General features: G+C 34.5%; 1 protein-coding gene and 1 pseudogene across 8 annotated transcripts in view, besides 1 other annotated feature; both read left to right on the forward strand.

The window, feature by feature from the left end:
- LOC100996886 (complement factor H-related protein 3-like) overlaps positions 1-168 on the forward strand; it is a 34,873-nt pseudogene extending 34,705 nt beyond the window's left edge.
- The window catches only part of CFHR4 (complement factor H related 4), a 30,582-nt gene continuing 11,791 nt past the window's right edge, over positions 3,143-21,933 (forward strand). For 5 of the 8 annotated variants that reach the window (NM_001201550.3, XM_047440640.1, XM_017000111.2 and 2 more), the window contains exons 1-3: positions 3,143-3,299; positions 17,509-17,706; positions 20,199-20,381. In NM_001201550.3, coding sequence (NP_001188479.1) covers positions 3,242-3,299; positions 17,509-17,706; positions 20,199-20,381 — 439 coding nt within the window. In that variant the 5' untranslated portion in view covers positions 3,143-3,241. The remainder of the gene's footprint in view (positions 3,300-17,508; positions 17,707-20,198; positions 20,382-21,933) is intronic. The other 3 variants (NM_001201551.2, XM_047440639.1, NM_006684.5) reach the window with 3 other exon arrangements.
- Positions 12,550-12,844: a silencer, noted in NCBI's record as "tiled region #8052; K562 Repressive non-DNase unmatched - State 24:Quies". NCBI's record gives its function as "represses a minimal TATA promoter and a strong SV40 promoter by Sharpr-MPRA in K562 cells {active_cell/tissue: K562}" and the evidence as "EXISTENCE:reporter gene assay evidence [ECO:0000049][PMID:27701403]".

Below are 21,933 nucleotides of genomic sequence, written 5' to 3' on the forward strand. Positions count from 1 at the left end.
AGCAGACATCAATTTTTTTTTCCTTTTCACATTAATTACTCAAATATTAGTGTGCTTTTCCATTCAGGCTTTTCCCACTCTAAAGCATTCTGTGTTACAGAGACGAGTTAGGGAGCTTTATGTGTATTCTGGTTTAAACTTATTTCTTTTTAGCTGAGACCTTTATAACTGTTGTATATACCTGTTTTATGTGATTAGCCTTCTATATCAAAGTCTTTCTCCTAGATATAAAAGTAATGTTTTTAATGAAGATATGGAGGCATAGTGCATAATATCAAAATAATTTAAACTCTATAATTTGTAGATTTGGCACTGTAGGATATGTCCAATTCTGAATATCTTCCCCCTTAGAAATTTTTTGCAAATATATAGGTAGTAGAGAGACAAAATATTTCTAGATGGTACCCATTTCTGCTCTATTGAAAGATTTCCCTACCATACTATCTAAATATTTATGAAGATTTTCTAGGAACAGTTGGCTCAGTTTGTGCTATTTTTTGCAAAGCCACTCGGTAATATATGTATATTTATATATATATATATCATATATATAAAGATATATATATTATATATTTATATTTATATATATATGATATATATGATATATATCATATATATATGATATATATATGATATATATCATATATATGATATATATATATGATATATATCATATATATATATATATATAGAGAGAGAGAGAGAGAGAGGGAGAGAGAGAGAGAGAGAGAGAGTCTTGCTCTGTCATCGTCCAGGATGGAGCACAGTGGCATGATCTTGGCTCACTGCAACTTCTGCCTTCCATGTTCAAGCAATTCTCCTGCCTCAACCTCCTGAATAGCTGGGATTACAGGCACCTGCCATCTTACACCCACCTAATTTTTGTATTTTTAGTAGAGACAGGGTTTTGCCATGTTAGCCAGGCTGGTCTTGAACTCCTGACCTCCAGTGATCTGCCTGCCTCTCAGTAATATTAGTGAAGTAATGTTTAATATACTCACATTAAGTGAAGTTAATATTTAGGATATTCATGCATACTGTTTTCATTTCTTTTTTAAATGTCTATGCTTAATATGAGGTCTAGTTTACAAAAATGTTACTCATCATAAAAAAATCTTAGTAAATTTTTATTAATTATTCTTTTAAGATTTTCTTATTATGAAAGAGAAAATGTCTTGTATAACAAAGGAATTCATCTTTTTAATCCTTTTTTTCCCTTTTTACATATGTCTCAACTACAATTTAGCCTGGACTTTTAATGTATAAAATTCTGTTATGATTTTCTTTAAAATGTAATATACACCTGTAGTGACCTGTTTTATTACTAGCATTGTCATAAATGCTTTAGTATAAATGAATTAAGAAAAATGCTCTTAAAATAGATTTTGGGGCTTATCGGGGGAAACCAGCCCCTGGCAATTCAATGTAGGTTCTTTTCTATTTCCCTAAGTGTCAGCTGGTCTGAGAAATAAAGGGAAAGAGTACAAAAGAGAGAAATTTTAAAGCTGGGTGTCCAGGGGAGACATCACATGTTGGCAGATTCCGTGATGCCCCCCAAGCTGCAAAACCAGCAAGTTTTTATTAGTGATTTTCAAAGGGGAGGGAATGTACGAATAGGGTGTGGGTCACAGAGATCACATGCTTCACAAGCCAATAAAATATCACAAGGCAAATGGGGGCAGAGCACCAGGACAAAATTAAAATTGCTAATGAATTTTCAGGCATGCATTGTCATTGATAACATCTTATCAGGAGGCAGGGTTTGAGAGCAAACAACCCGTCTGACTAAAATTTACTGGGCGGGATTTCCTCGTCCTAATAAGCCTGGGAGCACTACCCAAAACCAGGGCTTATTTCATCCCTTATCTGCAACCGTATAAGACAGACATTCCCAGAGCAGCCATTTCAGAGATCTCCCCCTAGTAATGCATTCTCTTTCTCAGGGCTGTTCCTTGCTGAGAGAAAGAATTCAGTGATATTTCTCCTATTTGCTTTTGTAAGAAGAGAAATGTGGCTCTGTTCTTCCCAGCTCTCAGGCAGCCAGACCTAATGGTTATCTCCATTGTTCCTTATTGTACCTTAAAATAATACATACCCCAAAACACAAGTTTAAAAAGATTGAGATATCAAGAATATGCTGAAACTTTTGTACTCAGTATGATCCATTGTGAGTTATCAAAATCAGTATGCTACTCTAAACACATGAAAATACAGACAGTGGAATGGGGTCCAGACATACTGGTTTGTTTTCATACGATCCTTAAATAATTAAGTTGGGTATTGGGAAGCAAAGGACGATAGAATATTAAAGTAACATGGACCCTGAGAGATATTCATTTATGATTCATCTGCTTGTGGAAGAACTTCAAACAATTTTCCAGTCTTTAATTTTAAAATTAGTGTTCTCGTTGTAAGAAGAGTATGTGTGTGATAGGAGATAGTATTATGACCATTTGTGGAAAAAAAACAACCTACCATGCTCAAACAGCAGGATTTTCAGAAGTAGAATAGTGTGCCAGATGTTTATTTTCAACGTGATGTCAACACGGCTCCTATCTTCATTTTCTTCTCCATTGCAGAAGATAAGTCTGAAACTACAGTTTCTGAAGCCTGTTTCTCCATAACTTGCTTCTTCCTTAGATTCCCCCATGAGATGTACTTAAAGAAGACTTGGAAGAAGAGAAAGACAAGGCATTATCTGTCAGCAGCTGCTGGTAGCAGCTGAGATCACCAACAGTAGCTTTCCTTGCTTCTGGAAGTTTTCCTGAGAAACATCCACTGCAGCACCATGGATAATTAGTGAGGGCATCACTAAGATTCCTGAACTTCAGAATTTTCTGGAAATAGCATTTCTGACCTTTGTCCCTCAATGCTTCCAATAGTTGCAGAAGCCTTTCATTCCCTGTATTAAAACTCTCTTTACTTAAAAAATAAGAAATAAAAATGAATTAATGTTTTATGTTACTTTTGGAGTTGGTCCATTACTGTCACTAAATAAAGCTGTACATGTACATACCAGGGAATCAATTCCAGAGATGATTGTGAAACCACTAACAAGAATCATTGAAGCATTTTGCAAAACTCTCTGAACTTTGATATTTACTAAGTGACCTTAAAGCCCTAGCTTTGTGGTAGTGCACTTAAATTCAGAATCACACTTGGTAACTAATAATGAAAGATTTCAAACCCCAAACAGTGCAACTGAAACTTTTGCATTACTATACTACTGAGAATATCTAACATGTTGTTACTAATCAATGTCATTCTGACCTTGTGGGTTTCCTGTGCTAATGGACAAGGTAAGTTGAAAGAGATCTAAACACTCAGCTTCCCTCTTAAATGTAACTTCGTGTAATATCTAACTTCATATGTCTATAATTTTTTTATAAATCTGATAGGATATATTCACTATGCTAGCAGAAGTAGCATATTTTGTGAGAGTATAACAGAAATTAATTTTATGAAAAAATATCTCATAATTTAAAGAAAAAATGAATAATATTTTCTTTGTTTTACAAATTCTACAGTGTAAAAAGCATCTAATATTCATTATGGAGATATATGAATATACTCATAAAACTTTAAGTAGGAAACATGTCATTAGATAGATTCTAACCTTAAAATGTTCAGAATTTTCTTATTCATAATACAAGGGAAACTTTGGGAGTGATTGATACTTTCATAATCTTACATACAGTGATTTTTTATTGATTCATATATCAAAACAGCAAATAAAATATTTTAAATTATGCCATTTCTTATATTTCTATTATACCTTAAGAAAGCTGCTACATCTAATTAACATTAATATGAATTTAATATTTCAACAAGATTAGCAATATGTAAATCACAACATATATGTAATCAAAAAGCAGAATATATACTTAACTTACATTGGAATGACAGTAAATTTTAATTTGCATTTCTGAGTTCACTAGCAAATGTTCAATAAATAAATACATAAATAATTTTCATAGCTTTATGTCATTGTTCTCTGATATGTTTTCTCCTCGATAGTCATGTATTTTCTATATTAACTATCTCTTTGAATGCAGGCCTTGCATATTAAAGAACTATATTGTATGTAACATTAGCAGTGGAACCACATGGGTCAAAAATCATGGACAATCAAAGGTGTGTCACCATTAATGAAGAAAACAAATTTTATAATTATCCAAAACTTTATAATATTCCAACAAATGTAATGGAGGATAATATTGGAAATCCCACTATCAATTATTGAGAGTATCTTTTCCCTCAGCCTCTCCTCTCAAAGCTATGCCACTTTATTTGATTCTAAGTAAACAGCTTTAGGTTTTACAGTATTATCTATCACATGATTCGCTAGTTTTAATTGCTGTGCAAAATCAACCTTGATTTGTGCCAAAATGAAAAAAAAGGAATTTCTCTTGTTATTCCCTTTGTTAACTAAACTGCTACAGGCACATTTTTTAAAATAAGGATTACATAGATTAAAGTAGAATGCAAAGCAGAAAAATAGAGAAAAACAGTACTATTTTGAAATGACTGAAATTAGATTAGAATAAGCTCTACTTTCTTAGTTACTTTCTCAAAAGCAGTATAAGAAAAGAATGCTGACAAATTCTTTCTTATTTGATATTCCAGTTGAAAACTTTTCTCCTCCAATGAACTCTTTGTAAGAGTAAACTTGAGAAAAATGTCTTGTAAATTTGGGTCACACCTATATTTCTCAAAGGAGAAAGTAACTCATTTAGTGGAATAACATCTTGGGTAGTGAGAAACATCTTTGTGAATTCAGTAGCATTGGCTCAACTGCATCCCTCCAAAATTTATTTGTAAAAGTCCAAATTCCCAATACCTGAGAATGTGACTGCATTTGAAGAAGGAGAGCTTAAAGATGTAATTAAGTTAAAGGTCAATGATTCAGGTGGGACCTACTCCAATATAACTGGTGTCAATAAGAAGAGAAAATAAGGACACACCATATAGAGAAAGACCACGTAAGGCATAGAGAGAATACAACCATTTACAAGGCAAAGGAAGAGGCCTCAGAAGAATGCAGCCCTGTTGACAGCCACATCTCAAAGTATTAGCCTCCAGAACTGTAAGAAAATAAATTTCTATGAAATCTGTGGTACTTTCTTATGGTAGCACTAGAAGATAAATACAATGATTTTACACAATTTATTAAAAGAATATTAACTTAAAATAATTTTTTACTCTTTACTCATGGATACGTATATACCCACCATACATATTTTAGAGGGTATTTATCAGAATTTGATAATTATATCTTGGCTGTATTGTCTTCGCTGAGTTTTGTCTAGTTGAATACTTTATGTTTATATATACCTGTATTCATATCTATTCAGAATCTGGCAAAGCAAACCTGAGAAATATTTTTCATATGATTAATGAAGGACATACTTTGTGAGTTGCCTATGCTAAGAAACTTTGTTTTTAATGGTAGTTGATGTTTCAGTTCTGAATAATAATTCTTTTGGAAGCCACGCTATTTGAAAGATAAACTTGACAGAAAATTAGTAATTGTAACCTATTATAATGTTCATTGAATTTGTATTGAGCATTATTTCTTCCATCAACTTGTAAGTTATTTACATTTAATTTAAAATAGGTTGTCAGGAAAATTATTTTAATTATGAATATCCTTTTAAAATTGTATAAATATTTCATTCATCTATTAGAGTTGCCATAACAAAGTATCAAAGGTGACAATTAGTATTTTAGAGCAGGATTGCTTCTAAATCTCTTTCAAACTAGATCATTTTCAATACCCAGTGCATTACACTCTGTTGCCATTGTACTTCTTTGGGATGCTCAAATTAGTTTCAAATCTCACTAAGAAGCTGGTTTCTGTGTGTATTTCACGTGCCCCCATTAAGCTTTCGCATAACAAAAGGTTCCAGGCTTTCCTTGACTTTTCCTACTACACACCCAGTTCTAATAACTTCTCTATGAAACTCCAGTGCCTTCTAGTGGGAGAAACGATTTTTAGAAATGAACCTAAACTATGAAAACCTCACTTCAGGTTCGAAAATGTCGTTTATTAAGAAAAAGAATTTTTGGCCAGTCATGGTGGCTGTAATCCCAGCAATTTGGAGGCCAAGTCGGGGAGATCACTTGAGGCCAGGAGTTTGGGACCAGCCTGGCCAACATGGTGAAACACTGTCTCTACTAAAAATTCAAAAAATTAGCCAGGTGTGGTGGCAAACACGTGTAATTTCAGCTACTCAGGAGCCTGAGGCAGGAGAATCACTTGAACCCGGGAGGTGGAGGTTGCAGTGAGCCAAGATCACTCTACTGAACTCCAGCCTTGGCGACAGAGCAAGACTGTCTCAATAAATAAATAAGTAAATAAAATGATTTCCTTTAGTTTACGTCTCTTTCTTCCTTGGACTAAATATCCTGCAATCATAAGAAAATGTAAGAGTATCTCAGGATGTTACACAGAGCAGGGATGGTTAGATTTTCCAATACGGAGGAGACACTCAGCAAAAAACTGTGCATCCGTGCTTGACGGACTGGGTCAGAGAAGCTGTCATGCGTCACCCAACAAGCCTCTGGAGCCAGTTCTGTAACTAGCAAACGCCTCCCAGAAAGTAAAGATGTCACTTCTCTGAACTTAGTCTTCTCATCTACACACTAAAGCTGTTGTGTCACTAGCCTCCTTCCAGTTCTCTCTGATTTATGATGATTCAAACTTAATTTTTCTTTAGTTATATTCTTAAGATTTCATAACAAATAGAACGTAAATATTAATTTCTCTCATGTTTCAGAATTATAAAGAACTTGATATAAAGAAACTTGTTTCAAAATTATAAAGAAACATAAATTATTTGCTATTTAAATTGTGGTAGTGTTCAATGTTCTCTTTGTATATACATATACATATATAAATATACATATAGAATGTATGAATATATATGTATATTCGTGTGTGGACCTATATTTTTATATCAATAATATGTCTCACCTGATACATGAATTCTAACTATGGTAAGAATGTATGCCATCTAATACAAACAAAATGCCACAAAACTCAACAAAATGTTTTATTTCTGGAGATAATTTGCTACATTTCAGATTTTTTCTTATGTTATAGTAATATTTCTTTTCTCTATTTTCCAAAAAACAATTATTGCTAATGTGTGCACCTGAACTGACAGCTTTAGCATAACTTGGTATAGTTTTAGATAAGCTGAGTTTAAATTAACGCTGATAAAATTTCCAGAATTGCCGAAGAGACCATACTACGTAGGAGAAGTGGATAAAGTGGAATGAGGTTCTTCTTGTCTTGTTAGCTGATTTGGGAGCCACTAAGGATTTTAAGTGGAGCAATAAAATGACCAGATGAAGGATCACTAATTTATACACAGGAAAATAGATTATAAAGATGAGAGGTCAGGATCAGGAAATTAGTTATGGTTGCTGTAATCCCAGAAGAAAATGGTTGAGAGAAGATGATATCAAAGATTATTGGCAGGGTTTTTTTGTGCCTGTTGTGTTTGTTTGTTTCTTTGTTTTGATAGAAAAATTGAGTGAAAGGGAACACCACAAATGCAGAAGTTCAGTTAATTTTGAGAGAGGTAATGAGAATGATTAACATGAATTTCCCCCAAAAAAAGTTCTGTCAATAATTACCATATTATGAATAAATAGGGCATGGGTTATTTTTGCAGCTGACTCAGAGAAAATAGCTATCACAGCAAACCTATGTCTATATTGAAATTCATATATACATTTAAAGAATATTATTCTATACCATTTATCTCAAGAGAACTAATCTTCAAAGGAAATAAAATCAGCAACATATTTTTAATTAAAATTTTAACTTCTTTCAAAAATGCCTTTATTATTTATCTGTTAAGAACAGATAAATCATTCATGAAGCATTCAAGTCAAAAAGAATTTTTATTTTTTTGTTGGCAGATTTACCTAGTGGAAACAACATGTGTATTTAGCTTTAAAAAGAAAATTCCATTAATATCAGATGAGGAAACATTCAACTAACAATGCAGTTAAGTGGAAGAAAATGAAGAGTTTCATTAATAACCCTAATATTAATGGACAATGGTGGTACTGAGAGGAACATCTATCTCTTTTAGGCTTCATAAGGAAATGGTGTTTTTCAGTGTCAACAAATTAATCTCCACTGCGTGGTTCACCCACCAAATAGCATATCTGTAATAATATATTGTACTTAGTCTACCACGTTTTAAAATGATTGGTTTCAAACTATCACAGCATAGAAGACAATATATAGATAGTTGAAGAGTTAAAGAAATTGTAGCGTAAGAAGCATGCAAAAAGATAGAGTTATAGCGTTATAATGACTGTCTTGAGATATTTCAAAACACTTACGAAGGGGAGCAAGTTAGCTTTTGATGAGGACTGTCACAGTCAGTGAAGCAGGTAACAGTATTATCCAACATCGAATCAGAGGTCGAGTGACTTTCTAAAAGGGTGACCTTTACAGATATTGCCATATGTTGCTGGGATGGGGGTTGGTGGTAGAAGAGTTGATCTATTCTGAGCCTTCCACATTTTAAGTGGTATGATTCAAAATTACACATACAAACTTTGTTTTAATTATACTCTATTTTAAAAACTGCAATTATCTTTTGAGTTGATTTTATAATTTATTTTTCTTTTAATTTTTGACTTAAGCTCACAAGCAGTTCCTTGGAAAATATATTTCACTACACAATTGAGCGATCTTCACTTATAAGCACTGTTAAGAAAATATGTTAGAAAGAGGTTAATGAACACAAGAAAATGATAACCCACATTAGATTTATGTTTGGCTGATGGTATGTGTAATACCATTGTTTGTCTTCAGATGTAAAAGATTTACCAACACAAGAAGCAGATTTGCTTGTTATTTGGGAATAACTGTATTCCCAAATCTCAGTAGCTTAATAAACCAAAGTTTATGTCTTGTTCACACTTTGTTTTCAATGTAGCTTAGAAGGGAATTTTGTTTATTACATGAATTCTAAGACTCAGGTGACACAGACCTAATCTCTCTATGTGCTTCCATGATAACTCTTAACAGCTGGGAAGATAACACAAAAATTTCTCCAATGGTTTCTTAAAATTCCTCCGAAGCTGAATATTAACTCTCATTTACACCTATTATATATTACAACACTCTCAGTTAAATTGCACCTGCTTAACTTCGCTAATATAGAAAAACTGCTCTATCCCCCCTTTTCCGTTGTTAATGTCACAGAATTTCATCTTTACACATCATGTGCCCAAAACTTAATAATTCACTTAAATGCATTGGTTTCCTAAATTATGTAGAAAATGAAATATGGAGTTTTAAACCAAAGTTACAACAATAAAAGCTTTTAGGTTAATAATTGTTTTTCTAAACTTCACTGGTCTCTTAAATCATATAGAAAAACAAAAAATGGAGACAAAAACCATTGTTACCATAATGCTAGCCTTTTTAAATTGCCCATGTATTTACCTTTATTGAGGTCATTATTTCTTCCTGCAATGTCCAGTTACTGTCTAGTATTATTTCACTTTACCCTTCAGGACTCTATTAGACATTTCTTGAAAGGCAAGTCTAGTGGTCTCAAACTCCCTCAGCTTTTGTTTATCTGGGAATGAATTAATTTCTCCTTCACTTTTGAAGGACACTTTTGACAGATATGGGATTCTTAGTTGAAAGACGTTTTTTTTCTTTTAGCGTTTTGAACATATTGGCCCAATGCCTCTGGCCTATAAACTTCTGATGAGAAATCTGCTAATAATCTGACTAAGAAATACTTACCTGTGAGAAATTGCTTCTCTCTTGCTGCATACAAGACTCTCTCTGTGTCTTTGCTATTTAAAAATTTGATTATGACCAAGTATAGTGGCTCATTCCTGTAACGCCAGCACTTTGGAAGACTGAATGGGGAGAGTTGCTTGAGGCCAGAAGTTTGAGGTCAGCCTGGCAAGCATGGCAAAACCCTGTCTCTAAAAACAACAACAACAACAACAAATTATTCAGGTATGGTGAAATGCACCTGTAGTCCCAGCTACTCAAGAGGCTGAAGTGGAAGGATCACTTGAGCCCAGGAGGTCGAGGCTACAGTAAGGTGTGATCACATCATTGCATTCTGGCCTGGGTGCCAGAGCATGACCCTGTCAAAAAAAATTATATTAAAGAAAAAAGTTAGCCTGATATAGTAGAGCATGCCTGTAGTCCTTACAATTCAAGAGACTGAGGCAGGAGGATTGCTTTAGACTAGGAATTTGAGATTGCAGTGAGCTATGATCACACCACTGCACTCCTCCCTGGGTGACAGAGCAAGACCCTATCACTACAAATTAAAAAACTTAATTAAATTAAAGTTTGATTATAATGTATCTTGATATCTATCTCTTTGAGTTAATCTCATTAAGTTCATTAAGTTTATTGAGGGTCTCTATTAATGCCATTATTTCTTCAAACATTCTCTATTCATCTTTCTCTTCTCCTTCCGAAATCCACTTTGTGTGTGTTGGTCTGCTTCCTGGTGTCCCATGTTCCTTAGATTCTTTTCACTTTATACTTTAATTTCTTTTTCTGTTATTCAGATTCAATAATTTTGGTTTTTCTAAAATTGTTAATTCTTTCATCTGCCTGCTCTACTATGCCTCTGAATCTCTTTTTTGATTTTTTTCCTTTTAATTATTGTACTTTCAGAATTTCTTTTTGTTTCCTTTTCAGGCTTTCTATCCCTTTATTCATATTTCCATTTTGATCATACATCATTTTCTTTCTTCACATCTTTCTTTACTTCTTTCAGTATCTTTAATACAGTTATTTTAAAGTTTCTAATAGACCTACCATCAGAGCTTTTTCAGGGAAACTTTCAGTTTATTTTTTTTCTTTTAATAGGCCATACTTTCCTATTTCTTTGTATGACATAATTTTTTTGTTGAAAACTGAACATTTTAGTCTAATAATGGGTAACAACTGGAATCAGATTCTCCTCCTTCTACATGTTTGTTGAGGGGCTTCCTGCATTGTTTTCATTTATTGTTTTTGTCTGAATGTTGTAGGCTATGTCTGTGTCACAAATTAGCCGGTAGTATAGACTTTAGGTTGTCTCCAGTGTTTTCCAAGCCTGCACTTTTTGCTAAGTGTTCATAGTCATTTTCTAATTTTCCCCATTCATGCAGTTGCTTTGGAACATCCTAGTGTTTAGTGTCTGGCTGCCAAAATATTCTTTTTGTGGAAAACTGAACTTTTTAATCTAATAATGGGTAACAATGGGAATCAGATTCTCCTCCTTCTACATGTTTGTTGAGGGGCTTCCTGCATTGTTTTCATTTATTGTTTTTGTCTGAATATAGTAGGCTATGTCTGTGTCAAGAATTAGCCTGTAGCATAGACTTTAGGTTGTCTCCAGTGTTTTCCAAGCCTGCACTTTTTGCTAAGTGTTCATAGTCATTTTCTAATTTTCCCCATTCATGCGGTTGCTTTGGAATATCCTAGTGTATCTCCCCTTGGACAAATTCACATCAGCCAAGGGGAGGGGCTTGCAACAATGGAGAAAGCCGAAAAACAATGGCCGCCTATCTTTCTGTCTGCATCTCTGTGATCAAAGAACCCAGCAATCAGAGCACAAATCTCAAATATTTGAAGAATCGAGTTGTTTTCGACACTCTGGCTCCCCGCTGCTATGTGCAGGTTGCTCCATAAATACACATACAGCTGCCTGCCATGTGGCTAAGGAGCGTGGTATGAACATATGACACTGTGCTAGGAGCTAAAATTGACTGAATGTGAGTGCAACTTACGATCCAAGTCATCCCTAGAAGTTGTAGGGCTTCAATAGACTCCAAAAATAGTACAATCAGACAAATTCTGGCCATGCAACTGTAAAGGTGAGGAGTCAGATTCCAGGTGTTTCCTCCTCCGCCATCTTCCCAGATTTCTTTTTCTATATTTCTTAGATTGCTTTCAGTAAATAGAATAACAAGCTAATGAATTTAATCTTTTTTATTATTATTATTATACTTTAAGTTCTAGGGTACATGTGCACAACGTGCAGGTTTGTTACATATGTATAAATACGCTGTGTTGGTTTGCTGCACTCATCATTTACATTAGGTATCAAACATAAACACTACTAGCTCCCTCCATTGAGTCGTTCTGAGAAGAAAAGGCAGGGCTCTGAATTCCGATGGAAGGGAACAGAAAGAAAAAAAGAAAAGGACTGAACTGGTGAAAGCACCTTTGTCTTTCAATCAAGATGAAATGGGGGAGTTCCCTGATTCCCCTCGCAGGACGTGCGAGAGGGGTGTTATCTGCTTTGTCGCCCCGCAGCTCAAACCCCTAGGGGCAGCTTGCAGACGGGCAGGTGCAGAGGCCGGCATGAGTGCTTTTGAGCTCTGGCCCCACGGCAGCGTCTAGGGTAGGCGTCTGTGAGTACAGACGCCCAAGTGGACGCGTGTTACAAAACTCAGATTTGCTGTCTGCAGACGGCTTGTGTGTTAATCCGCTCAATGGACCCTCTGCCTTATCTCAAGAGCCTGGGGCCAGTGTGACAGACTTCTGTATCCTGAGCTCTTGCCCAGTGGTCCTAAAGAATTGGATCACATGCGGGCTCAAAGGATGACTGCAAGGTTTTATTGAGTGATGGCGGTGGTTCTCAGCAAGTTGGATAGGGAGCCCGAAGTGGGGGATGGAGTGGGAAGGTGGTCTTCCCCTGGAGTTAGGCCACCCAGCGGCCAGATTTTTCTCCGACCTCCCCTAGCGGAACTCATTTCCCTCGGCATCCAGACATTCCTGCTCTTCTCTCTTTCTCTGCTGCCTTGTTCCGCTGTGATTGTTCAGCCGCGTATGTGTGCCCGCTAAGGTGTTGGGTTTATATGGGGGCTGGATGAGGAGCATGGAGGGCCAAAAGGCAACATTTTGGACAGGAAAACAGACATGCCTGTCCTCATTTAGGGTCGGGGTGGGGCCTTTGACAGGGAATCGCCCTCTTCTAACCAGTATTTGCCTGTCTCCTTTCCGTATCAAAGACTCTCACTAAATCAACCAGAGCTAAGATATGTGTACTCAAGGAGAAAAGCTGAAAGACTTCTGTGTGGAATACATGGATGGTTAACACTGTAAGTCCTTACTCAGGCCTTCCTTATTTGCATTTTTACTGTGTTTCTAGCAAGAATGTACTTTATTTTAATGGGTAGTGATTTCTACATAGTCCACACAGCCGTTTTCTTTTCAGAAAAAAAAAAATGTAATCCTCCTTATATTCAAAATGATGTCTACACACCTGAAAAGACAAAACACAGAATTGAAGATTTAATCATATGTGAGTTTATAGATGGCTTTTATCCTACAACCCAGGGAAACAGGGCAAATGCACTAGTAGTGGGTGGGTACCTACGTGCTCCAGGATGTAGCAGTAAGTTCCAGTCCATATACTGACTTACATTTAAAATCTGAAATTACTTTCTCTTAAACACAAAAAAAGGGGAGACAATAAATTTCAATATTTTAGTATATGGAGTTTTGAGAAGTCTTTGCTTTCCAAAGTAGATAATTCTAAGTAGAATTTAAAACAATTATTGTAAACTAAAATTCTCTTTAATGTTTGCTACTCAGAATTATACAGATGGATGTGTGTATATGAATAGATATTTCTCTATTCTTCCAATGTCCAAAATAATACACTGGGTGAGACTAGCACCCTCTAAAGCCTAGTATATTAGTTATGTATGGTTGTGAAACATATTTTGCTAAAAACATATTTGCTTAAAACAATAAACCTTTATTTTCTCACAGATTTTGTGGGTCAGGCATTTGGGAGTGACTTTACTGTTTAGTTCTGTGTCAGATGCTCTCCTGTGTCGTTGCCAAGGATGTTGGCCTGGGCTGCAGTGACCTGACAACTTGGCTGGGCTGCAGGATCTGCTTCCAACATGGCTCACTCACACAGATTTTGGTAGGAGGTCCCAGTACCTTACCACATTGTCCCCTCCACAGGTTGCTTGAATGGCAACTACATTTCTCCAGAGCTAAAGATTCAAGACAGAGAGAGTGAGGAGTAGGAGGAAGCCTTCATGTCATTTATCACCTAGTCACACACTCTCACCTGAGCCATATTTATTCTTCAGAAATGAGTCACTAAGTCCAGCACACAACAAGTGGAGGAGAATTAGGCTCCACTATTTTGAGGAAGGAGTATTGAAGAATTTGTGGAATTTCCACAATCATCAAATGTAGCAAAATGTCTCTCACGTCAATAGGGTGTTTTATTTCTATGATGGTTCCTTTGCCTTTTTCAAGATTTTTTCTGTCTCTACAAACATATTCTTTTTTTTTTCTATCTTGCAGTGCATTGTAAAGGTGAACCATACTTAAAGTGGATAGTCCATGACAGAAAAATGTTCTTTCCTCTTCTTTTTAAAACAAGGTCTTCCTCTGTTGCCCAGGCTGGAGTGCAGCAGCGCAGTATACGTCGCTGCAATCTTGACCTCCTTGGCTCAAATGATCTTCCCACTGCAACCTCCTAAGCAGTTGGGAATATAGGCATGTGCCACCATGCCCAGTTACTTTTTTATTTTTATTCTGTAGACACAAGGTCTTGCTGTGATGCTTAGGCTGATCTCAAACTGGGCCTCAAGCAGTCCTCCCACCTTGGCCTCCCAAGGTGTTCGGATTATCGTGCCCAAACCCAGATGAATTGTCAAAAGCATGAGTTCTTAAGAAAGGTAGCTATTGTAACTGTGAAACCAATTTCACTGTGCATAAAAACTATAAGGTAAATAAATAATTATTCTATAGTTGGCTTATGAAAATGCTAGATCAGCCCAAATGCTTCTGGACCAACTGAATGCCAGCTATATCTGGTTTTCTGCAAAAGTATTTCGCAAGTGACCTTCTGAAATTTGTGTGGAAAAGATGGAGAAATTGACTGGTTTGATGATTTATCAAGTAGTTTGCAGTTTTATTAAATGTTTTACCTGATTATCAGATACAGCATTTTATTCTCAGGCTTCATTACTCTTTTGTGTCTGCCCATAGTTTAACGGTTTAGGAGAAATGCAGTATAAATTCACAAATGAAATGCTACAGCAGATGGTGACAGTGAATCTGCATTAGTATAGATTCATAATTCCAGAAGAATCCTACGTGCAAAGCTAAATCTAAAAAAATTAAATTTAGTAGTGGTAACTGTAAGATCCTGGTCTTGGGTCAAAGGAATCAGCAGTACTAGTACAAACAGATTAGCAACCACTATAAAAATTAGTGAGTATTTTAATCAACGTTAAGGTCAGTTTGAGTTAACATTGTGATAGAACCATCATAACTGCTTGTGAGTCTACAATTCACATGGTAGAAGACTAAGAAATAGAATGAGGCTGCTCTAAGTTCTGCTGACTTCAGTGCCAATCAGATCATAGGTGGAATTTTTTTTTTTTTTTTTTGCTTTAGAGAACTACCATATGAGAAAGATAAAAATGGTTTAAATTTTCTCAGTAAAAAAGAAAAGTCATGAAGTGGCTCAAGCTTGTGGTATTAATGATAATGATAGCTACTTTTAATTATACTTCCTTTTTGATTTTTTGAAAAGAAATCTCAGCAGACTATGTTATTTACATTCTATGAAACACCATCATGAGATAGATAACTATACTTGTTCTGAAATCAGAAAACTAAAGTTTAAATCTCTGCTCTACCACTTAATGGAAATTTTAATTGAGTTTTTTAAGGCTCACTTCCTGCAAATCCAAAGACTCAAGCTTGTCCAAGGTGGAATTAGTGTTAAATGATCTATGTTGAAGTATCATAATGTATCATGATGAAATTTGCAAAGTTCAAAGGTAAAGAGAAAATAATACAAATATCCAAACAGTGGTCGGGGGGAAACAACAGAATGTAACATAGAAGGAATGAAACTAAATGAGGCATTTTAAGCTCAACTTTGGAAGTTCAAAAAATGGGGGGCAAAATCTATCAACAATGAGAGATATGGATATAGGCCAAGAAACTATACAAAGACAAGTTATTGTTCCCAGGTCTTTGTTAAAGACATTTACAACATGCAAGGATTCAAAGTTATAATCGGCATAACTAATCTGTAGAAACCGGTTGAAAAATTTTTCTAATCAAACAAAAAGAAATAGATTGATGAACGCCAGATGTGTTAAAGACAAATTATTCATCTGACACTTGTTAATATGACAAGACAGATTTTATTTGACTATTGCAATAGGGGAAAGAAGTCTTGAGCTAAGCTTCAAAAACAGCACAGCTGAGGATTTATACCCTAAAATCAGAGTAATTAAGATGCTATTTATAAGCAATGAAACTGAATGAATATTTGAACTTCCACATTGGAAGTTTCAAAAATGTGGCAAAAAAAAAATGGTGAAGAGAAATATGGACTGTAGGCCAAGAATCTATACCTAGAGAAGTTACTCACGTATCTTTTAAATGAAGATACTTAAGAGATGCAAGAATTCAACATTTATAATCCACAAAACAAGACTGTAGAAACTGCCTGAAAATCTCGCTAATGAAAAAATAAGAAAGAAAGACAATAAACCAGTGGACTAAAGAATAATGGAGATAATAAACAATATTGTGCGTGTGTGTGTGGTGCATATGTTGGAATTTTTTATAATGTGTAGTATAAGGTTTCTTGAACAATGATCATATTTCATAGAAAAAATGAATATTCTTCTGGTATTACAAGTAGTAAATTATCTCCGAATCATCCCATGGAAATGGAAACTTTTTTTGGAAATATCAAGTATAAGCCTTATAATAACATAGTGCTTAAACATATATGTCAAATATTCAATATACACAAATTCCTCAATAAACTGTAAATATACTGTAAAAAATATTGTATATAAAACATTAAAAACATCTTATTTTCTAATCAAAATTAAAAATTAATAAAAATGCTTATTACACTCTTAGATATTTAGATATTAAGAAATATTCCTAGTTCATTTTCCTGGTTAAATAAAGGATAGAAATCTTGTCTTAATAACTGGTTTGAGACATGAATTAGCAATATTATTTTGTTGTGTGATGTGATCAATGAGAAATTCCTGTTTCTCTGTAGTTTTTACATTCCTTCCAGTCAATTTTTTAAAATCCTCAAAAAACTACTATCTCCCACTCTAGAGTTGGTCTGAGAAGAACAGGCAGGGCTCTGATTTCTGATGGGATGGAACAGAAAGAAAAAGAAGACAGATGAGCTGAATGGTAAAATAAGCGCCTTCATCTCTCAACCAGGAAGCTCACTAATCAACCAGGGCTACGATATATGTACTCATGGAGGGTACATTAAATAGGTCTGCACAGTTTTCTTCAATCTTCATTAGCAAACAGCTCTTCACATATCTAGGTCATTGGATTTCTGTAACTTTTCTTGCCCTAAAACCCCTAATTCATTACACTAAGAAGAGAATATAATTTATTGATCAAAAATGTCATATATGATTATCTGTTATAGAAAAACATTATTTATACTGTTTTTTGTTTTTTATTACAAGAAGTGAAACCTTGTGATTTTCCAGAAATTCAACATGGAGGTCTATATTATAAGAGTTTGCGTAGACTATACTTTCCAGCAGCTGCAGGACAATCTTATTCCTATTACTGTGATCAAAATTTTGTGACTCCTTCAGGAAGTTACTGGGATTACATTCATTGCACACAAGATGGTTGGTCACCAACGGTCCCATGCCTCAGTAAGTAAACCTCTTTACAAGAATATGTGCATAAAACTTGAAAAGAGTGAGAGAACAGCAAATAAATGATTATATTGTCTTATATAACAGAAATAGGACCAAAGGAAGAGTTGTTCAAGCAAAAAGACCAAAATGGATCTTTTTTGTTATGAGATCTTCGTGAAAATTACATGAGAAATAAATGTGGCAACTTTATGAGAATACCGATATAATTTAAACATATTTTATCATAAAAACTAAGGTTAAGTAACATTGAATACTGACTTTTTTGTAAAAACATTTAGTAGTAGCTTTAGTTTTTCTTGAGTCATACATCATTTTCAGTATTGATGCAGTCTTATTTAAATGTTCCAAAAATTATTTTAATATACTATTTTGATCAAATTCATGTCTCTAATTTACCTTTAAATCATTTTATGGTCCTTAGGACAATGTATTTTCAATTATTTGGAGAATGGATATAATAAAAAATATGGAAGAACGTATTTACAGCTGGTCTCCTCCTCCCAGATGCATTCGTGTCAGTTAGTGCACTCATTTGAGATCCCAGTATGTCCGTAACTGTCTAAGATCTAGATATTTAACTGGAAAATTTTGTACATCAACTCTGAAGCCGAATTTATGTCTTTTTATTTTAAAACAGAAGCCTATCTAGTTTCCAGTTCCAAATGTGTCTGAATACATTTAAAATTTCTGGATAATTAGTGGATTCTGTCACTTAATAGGGCCAAGCAGCAATAGAAATATAAGTCAGGGGCCAGGCGCAGTGGCTCAGTCCTGTAATCCCAGGACTGTGGGAGACCGAGACGGGCAGATCACTTTAGGTGAGGAGTTCAAGACCAGCCTGGTCAACATGGTGAAACCCTGTCTCTACTAAAAATACAAAAATTAGCCGTGTGCAGTGGCACATGCCTGTAATCCCAGCTACCCAGGAGGCTGAGGCTGGAGAATGGCTTGAACCAGGGAGGCGGAGGTTGCAGTGAGCTGAGATTAGACCACTGCACTCCAGACTCGGTGATAGAGCAAGACTCTGTCTCAAGAAAAGAAAAAAACACATATATATATATATGTATATATATACACACACACACATATGTCATGAAGATCACAAAATACACTAAATACACATTAAAGTAACACTGCTTCAGTATTTATATCAAAGTGAATGCATTGATTTAAGTAGATTATAAAATTATAGCATTAATTAACAATGCTTGCCCAAAGGTCACTTGTACATCTCTCACAATTATATGACATCTATTCTTATAGCTAATGCTCATGCTCTGTCGCTTTAAATGAAGACACATTCAGTTATAGCTGACTTTCACTTTTTAGGTAAAGGGGTCTCTGAAAGTTGTTTGTGTGTATTGTTTGCAATTTACAAAACATTCCATTATAGAAACTATATGATAATTAGGATACAATAGAGATAAAGGACAATGGTAATCTTCTTACACATTCATAGAAGCACTGCCCTCAACAACAGCCTAAGCCTCTGGAAGGGAAGTCCCTTTTGCTCCTGCCATAGGCACCAACTCTGTCATTAATCCACTTAACAAATATTGTTGTGTGTCAAGTGCCTTTATAGGTATCGAAAATAAAATTGTTTACGAGAGAAACTGAATACTGTAGTTTAGAGACTGGAGGAGATTAATCGAAAAGTTGACAAGAATAGATCAGAAAACTCATGATTATGACAAATGCTTTATTATAAACATGTATCATCTTTAACATGATTTATTTTCCTTTCAGATAGTAAAATTGGTCCATTTACATTTTTTTCTAATTACTAACCAAAAAAGAACATACACATTATTAATAAGTTAGAACATACGCATTACTAAAATAATTACTACCTTATACATATACCCATTAGTAATGTATAGAACACATACATTGATAATATATAAAGAACATATACATTACTAATATATTAGAACTTATTTTTGCTATCTTGTTTGTTTTTTCCTGCTTACATTTCCACATTTCTCTCAAACACCATGGCTATATGGGTTTAAGCATCCACTTAAGATGACAACTATTTTAAATTCCTGGAGACAAAAGATTTACAAATTTATTTCCTTGCCTGTGGTAGCAGTGTGTACTGTATCTTTGCCTGGGAAATGGCATTTGACTAAATGAAGTCTAAGACCTCTTAATAGCACCAGAAAGGTTCAGGTTATTGCAAAGTAGCCAGAAACTCTTCCAAATAATTATAGGGAATTGAGAGTCTGCTAGATCTGCATTCCTCAAGGCCTGCCAGAGCTCTGTTGACAGTCTCAAAGATTCTTTGCTTTTATTCTGCCCTTCCCTGTGTTTTCACTATTTTCTTTCAAAATTCACAGATGTCTAGGAAACTTCCAGTTTTGCTGTTTTCAATTCATTAACAGATGTTTCATTGTTTCACCATACTGCCATGTTTTTACTTGTTCCCTTCTATAAAAGAAGTATTCAACAAATATTTACTTTTTTCTCTACTTTTTCTATTTTAGGAACATGCTCAAAATCAGATGTAGAAATTGAAAATGGATTCATTTCTGAATCTTCCTCTATTTATATTTTAAATGAAGAAACACAATATAATTGTAAACCAGGATATGCAACAGCAGAGGGAAATTCTTCAGGATCAATTACATGTTTGCAAAATGGATGGTCAACACAACCAATTTGCATTAGTAAGTTATTTACATATTCCCACTCAGTTTCTGTCAACTTCTTTCCTCTCTTTGAGGTGATAGTGTTTTACAGAAAAAGATAGAAAACACTTTTAGGAGTAAAGAGATATAAATACTTCTAACATCATCTAACATTCTGTGCCAAACTAAGTCTTTTTTGCCTTTTTAGAGTAATGGCTACTTGGGAAGATGATCATTCCATCTCTCTCAATTCAATTTGCCTTTACGTAAAAGCAATCCCATCAGGTACAGACTAGTTAGGGAGCTGCATGGGAATATCAGCACAATGTATTACTTGTCAATAAAAACTTTGTTCTTTTCCCTTTCTTTGTATTTCAAAATTATCAACTGCTTGTATTGTATTCCTTGCTCACACTCTTAAGATGTACATGTTAGGGAAGGGATGAGTGCTTAATTCTGAGTTTCTGCTAGCATCAGGAAAATGAGACTTCAATAATTTGTATCAATGATGCAACTGAGGAGAACCAACTCAAAAAATTATTTCCAGCTTATTGTCTAGTACAGAGAAAACAAGTAAAGAAAAAGAGTAAGTGGGTGGGCTGAATGTTTACAAACCTCATACTTGGCAATGGATTCCTTACAACTAAAGTTCTCTAAAACATTCCCAACTTGTAATTATTTATTAATAAAGAGATTGCATAATGAACAATGGAAACCTTGCAGTGGCAAAAGTTTATCTTTTTTGTCTTTCCTCTTTAGGCATTCACCAAGATTTGTAAAGATAAATCATTTAATGTATTTTTAACACACATATTGATATATAATTTACATACTGCAAAATCCACTTCATTTTCAAGGGTACAATTCAACTATTTTTAGCCATGAGACGAAATGGAAAGGACTACTGATATGTAATTGAACATGGATGAATCTCAAAAATATTAATCTAAGTGAGAAAAAAGAAAATGCTACACTTAGAAAGTGATTATCTCAAAGTTACTCTGAGGTTTGGGAGCTATAAAATATCAATTCGTACATTTCTAGAATACTGTTTTCAATTTCTATGCTTATCACGGGCTCTGCAAAAGACAAAGCTGTACACTTCAATCTGATTTGACCAGCTTTGATAAATGATCTAAGATTTGTAAAATAAAAGATGCTTTAAAATTTTTATAGAACGTATATCCAATGAATATAATTTTAATCCAACTTATAAACCCTGTCAGTAAACTGAGTACATAAATATGTACATTAACTTTTAAATTCACAAAATTTTATCTTCTTTAAAATAATACATTATAGTGATAAAGGTAGACTGTAATAACAGTCAATGAGGTGTTCACAAATAAAAATAGATCTGACTAAATAGTCTTAATATGTTTTTCATAGGGTTTGAATAATGAGAAGGATCATTATAGGGAAATGTATTTTTCTCTTGTAATTAACTGTTATAGCACAAAAAAAACACTGATTGTCGGACTATTTTTAATAGTACTCAATTTATTAGCACACACTGATTGGTAAATTTTATTCCTACAATGGGACTTTCTTAGTCGAGTTGTACATCATATGGCATAGAAAAGCAATCCTC

This window comes from Homo sapiens, chromosome 1 (assembly GCF_000001405.40).
Source record: "Homo sapiens chromosome 1, GRCh38.p14 Primary Assembly".
NCBI lineage: Eukaryota > Metazoa > Chordata > Mammalia > Primates > Hominidae > Homo > Homo sapiens.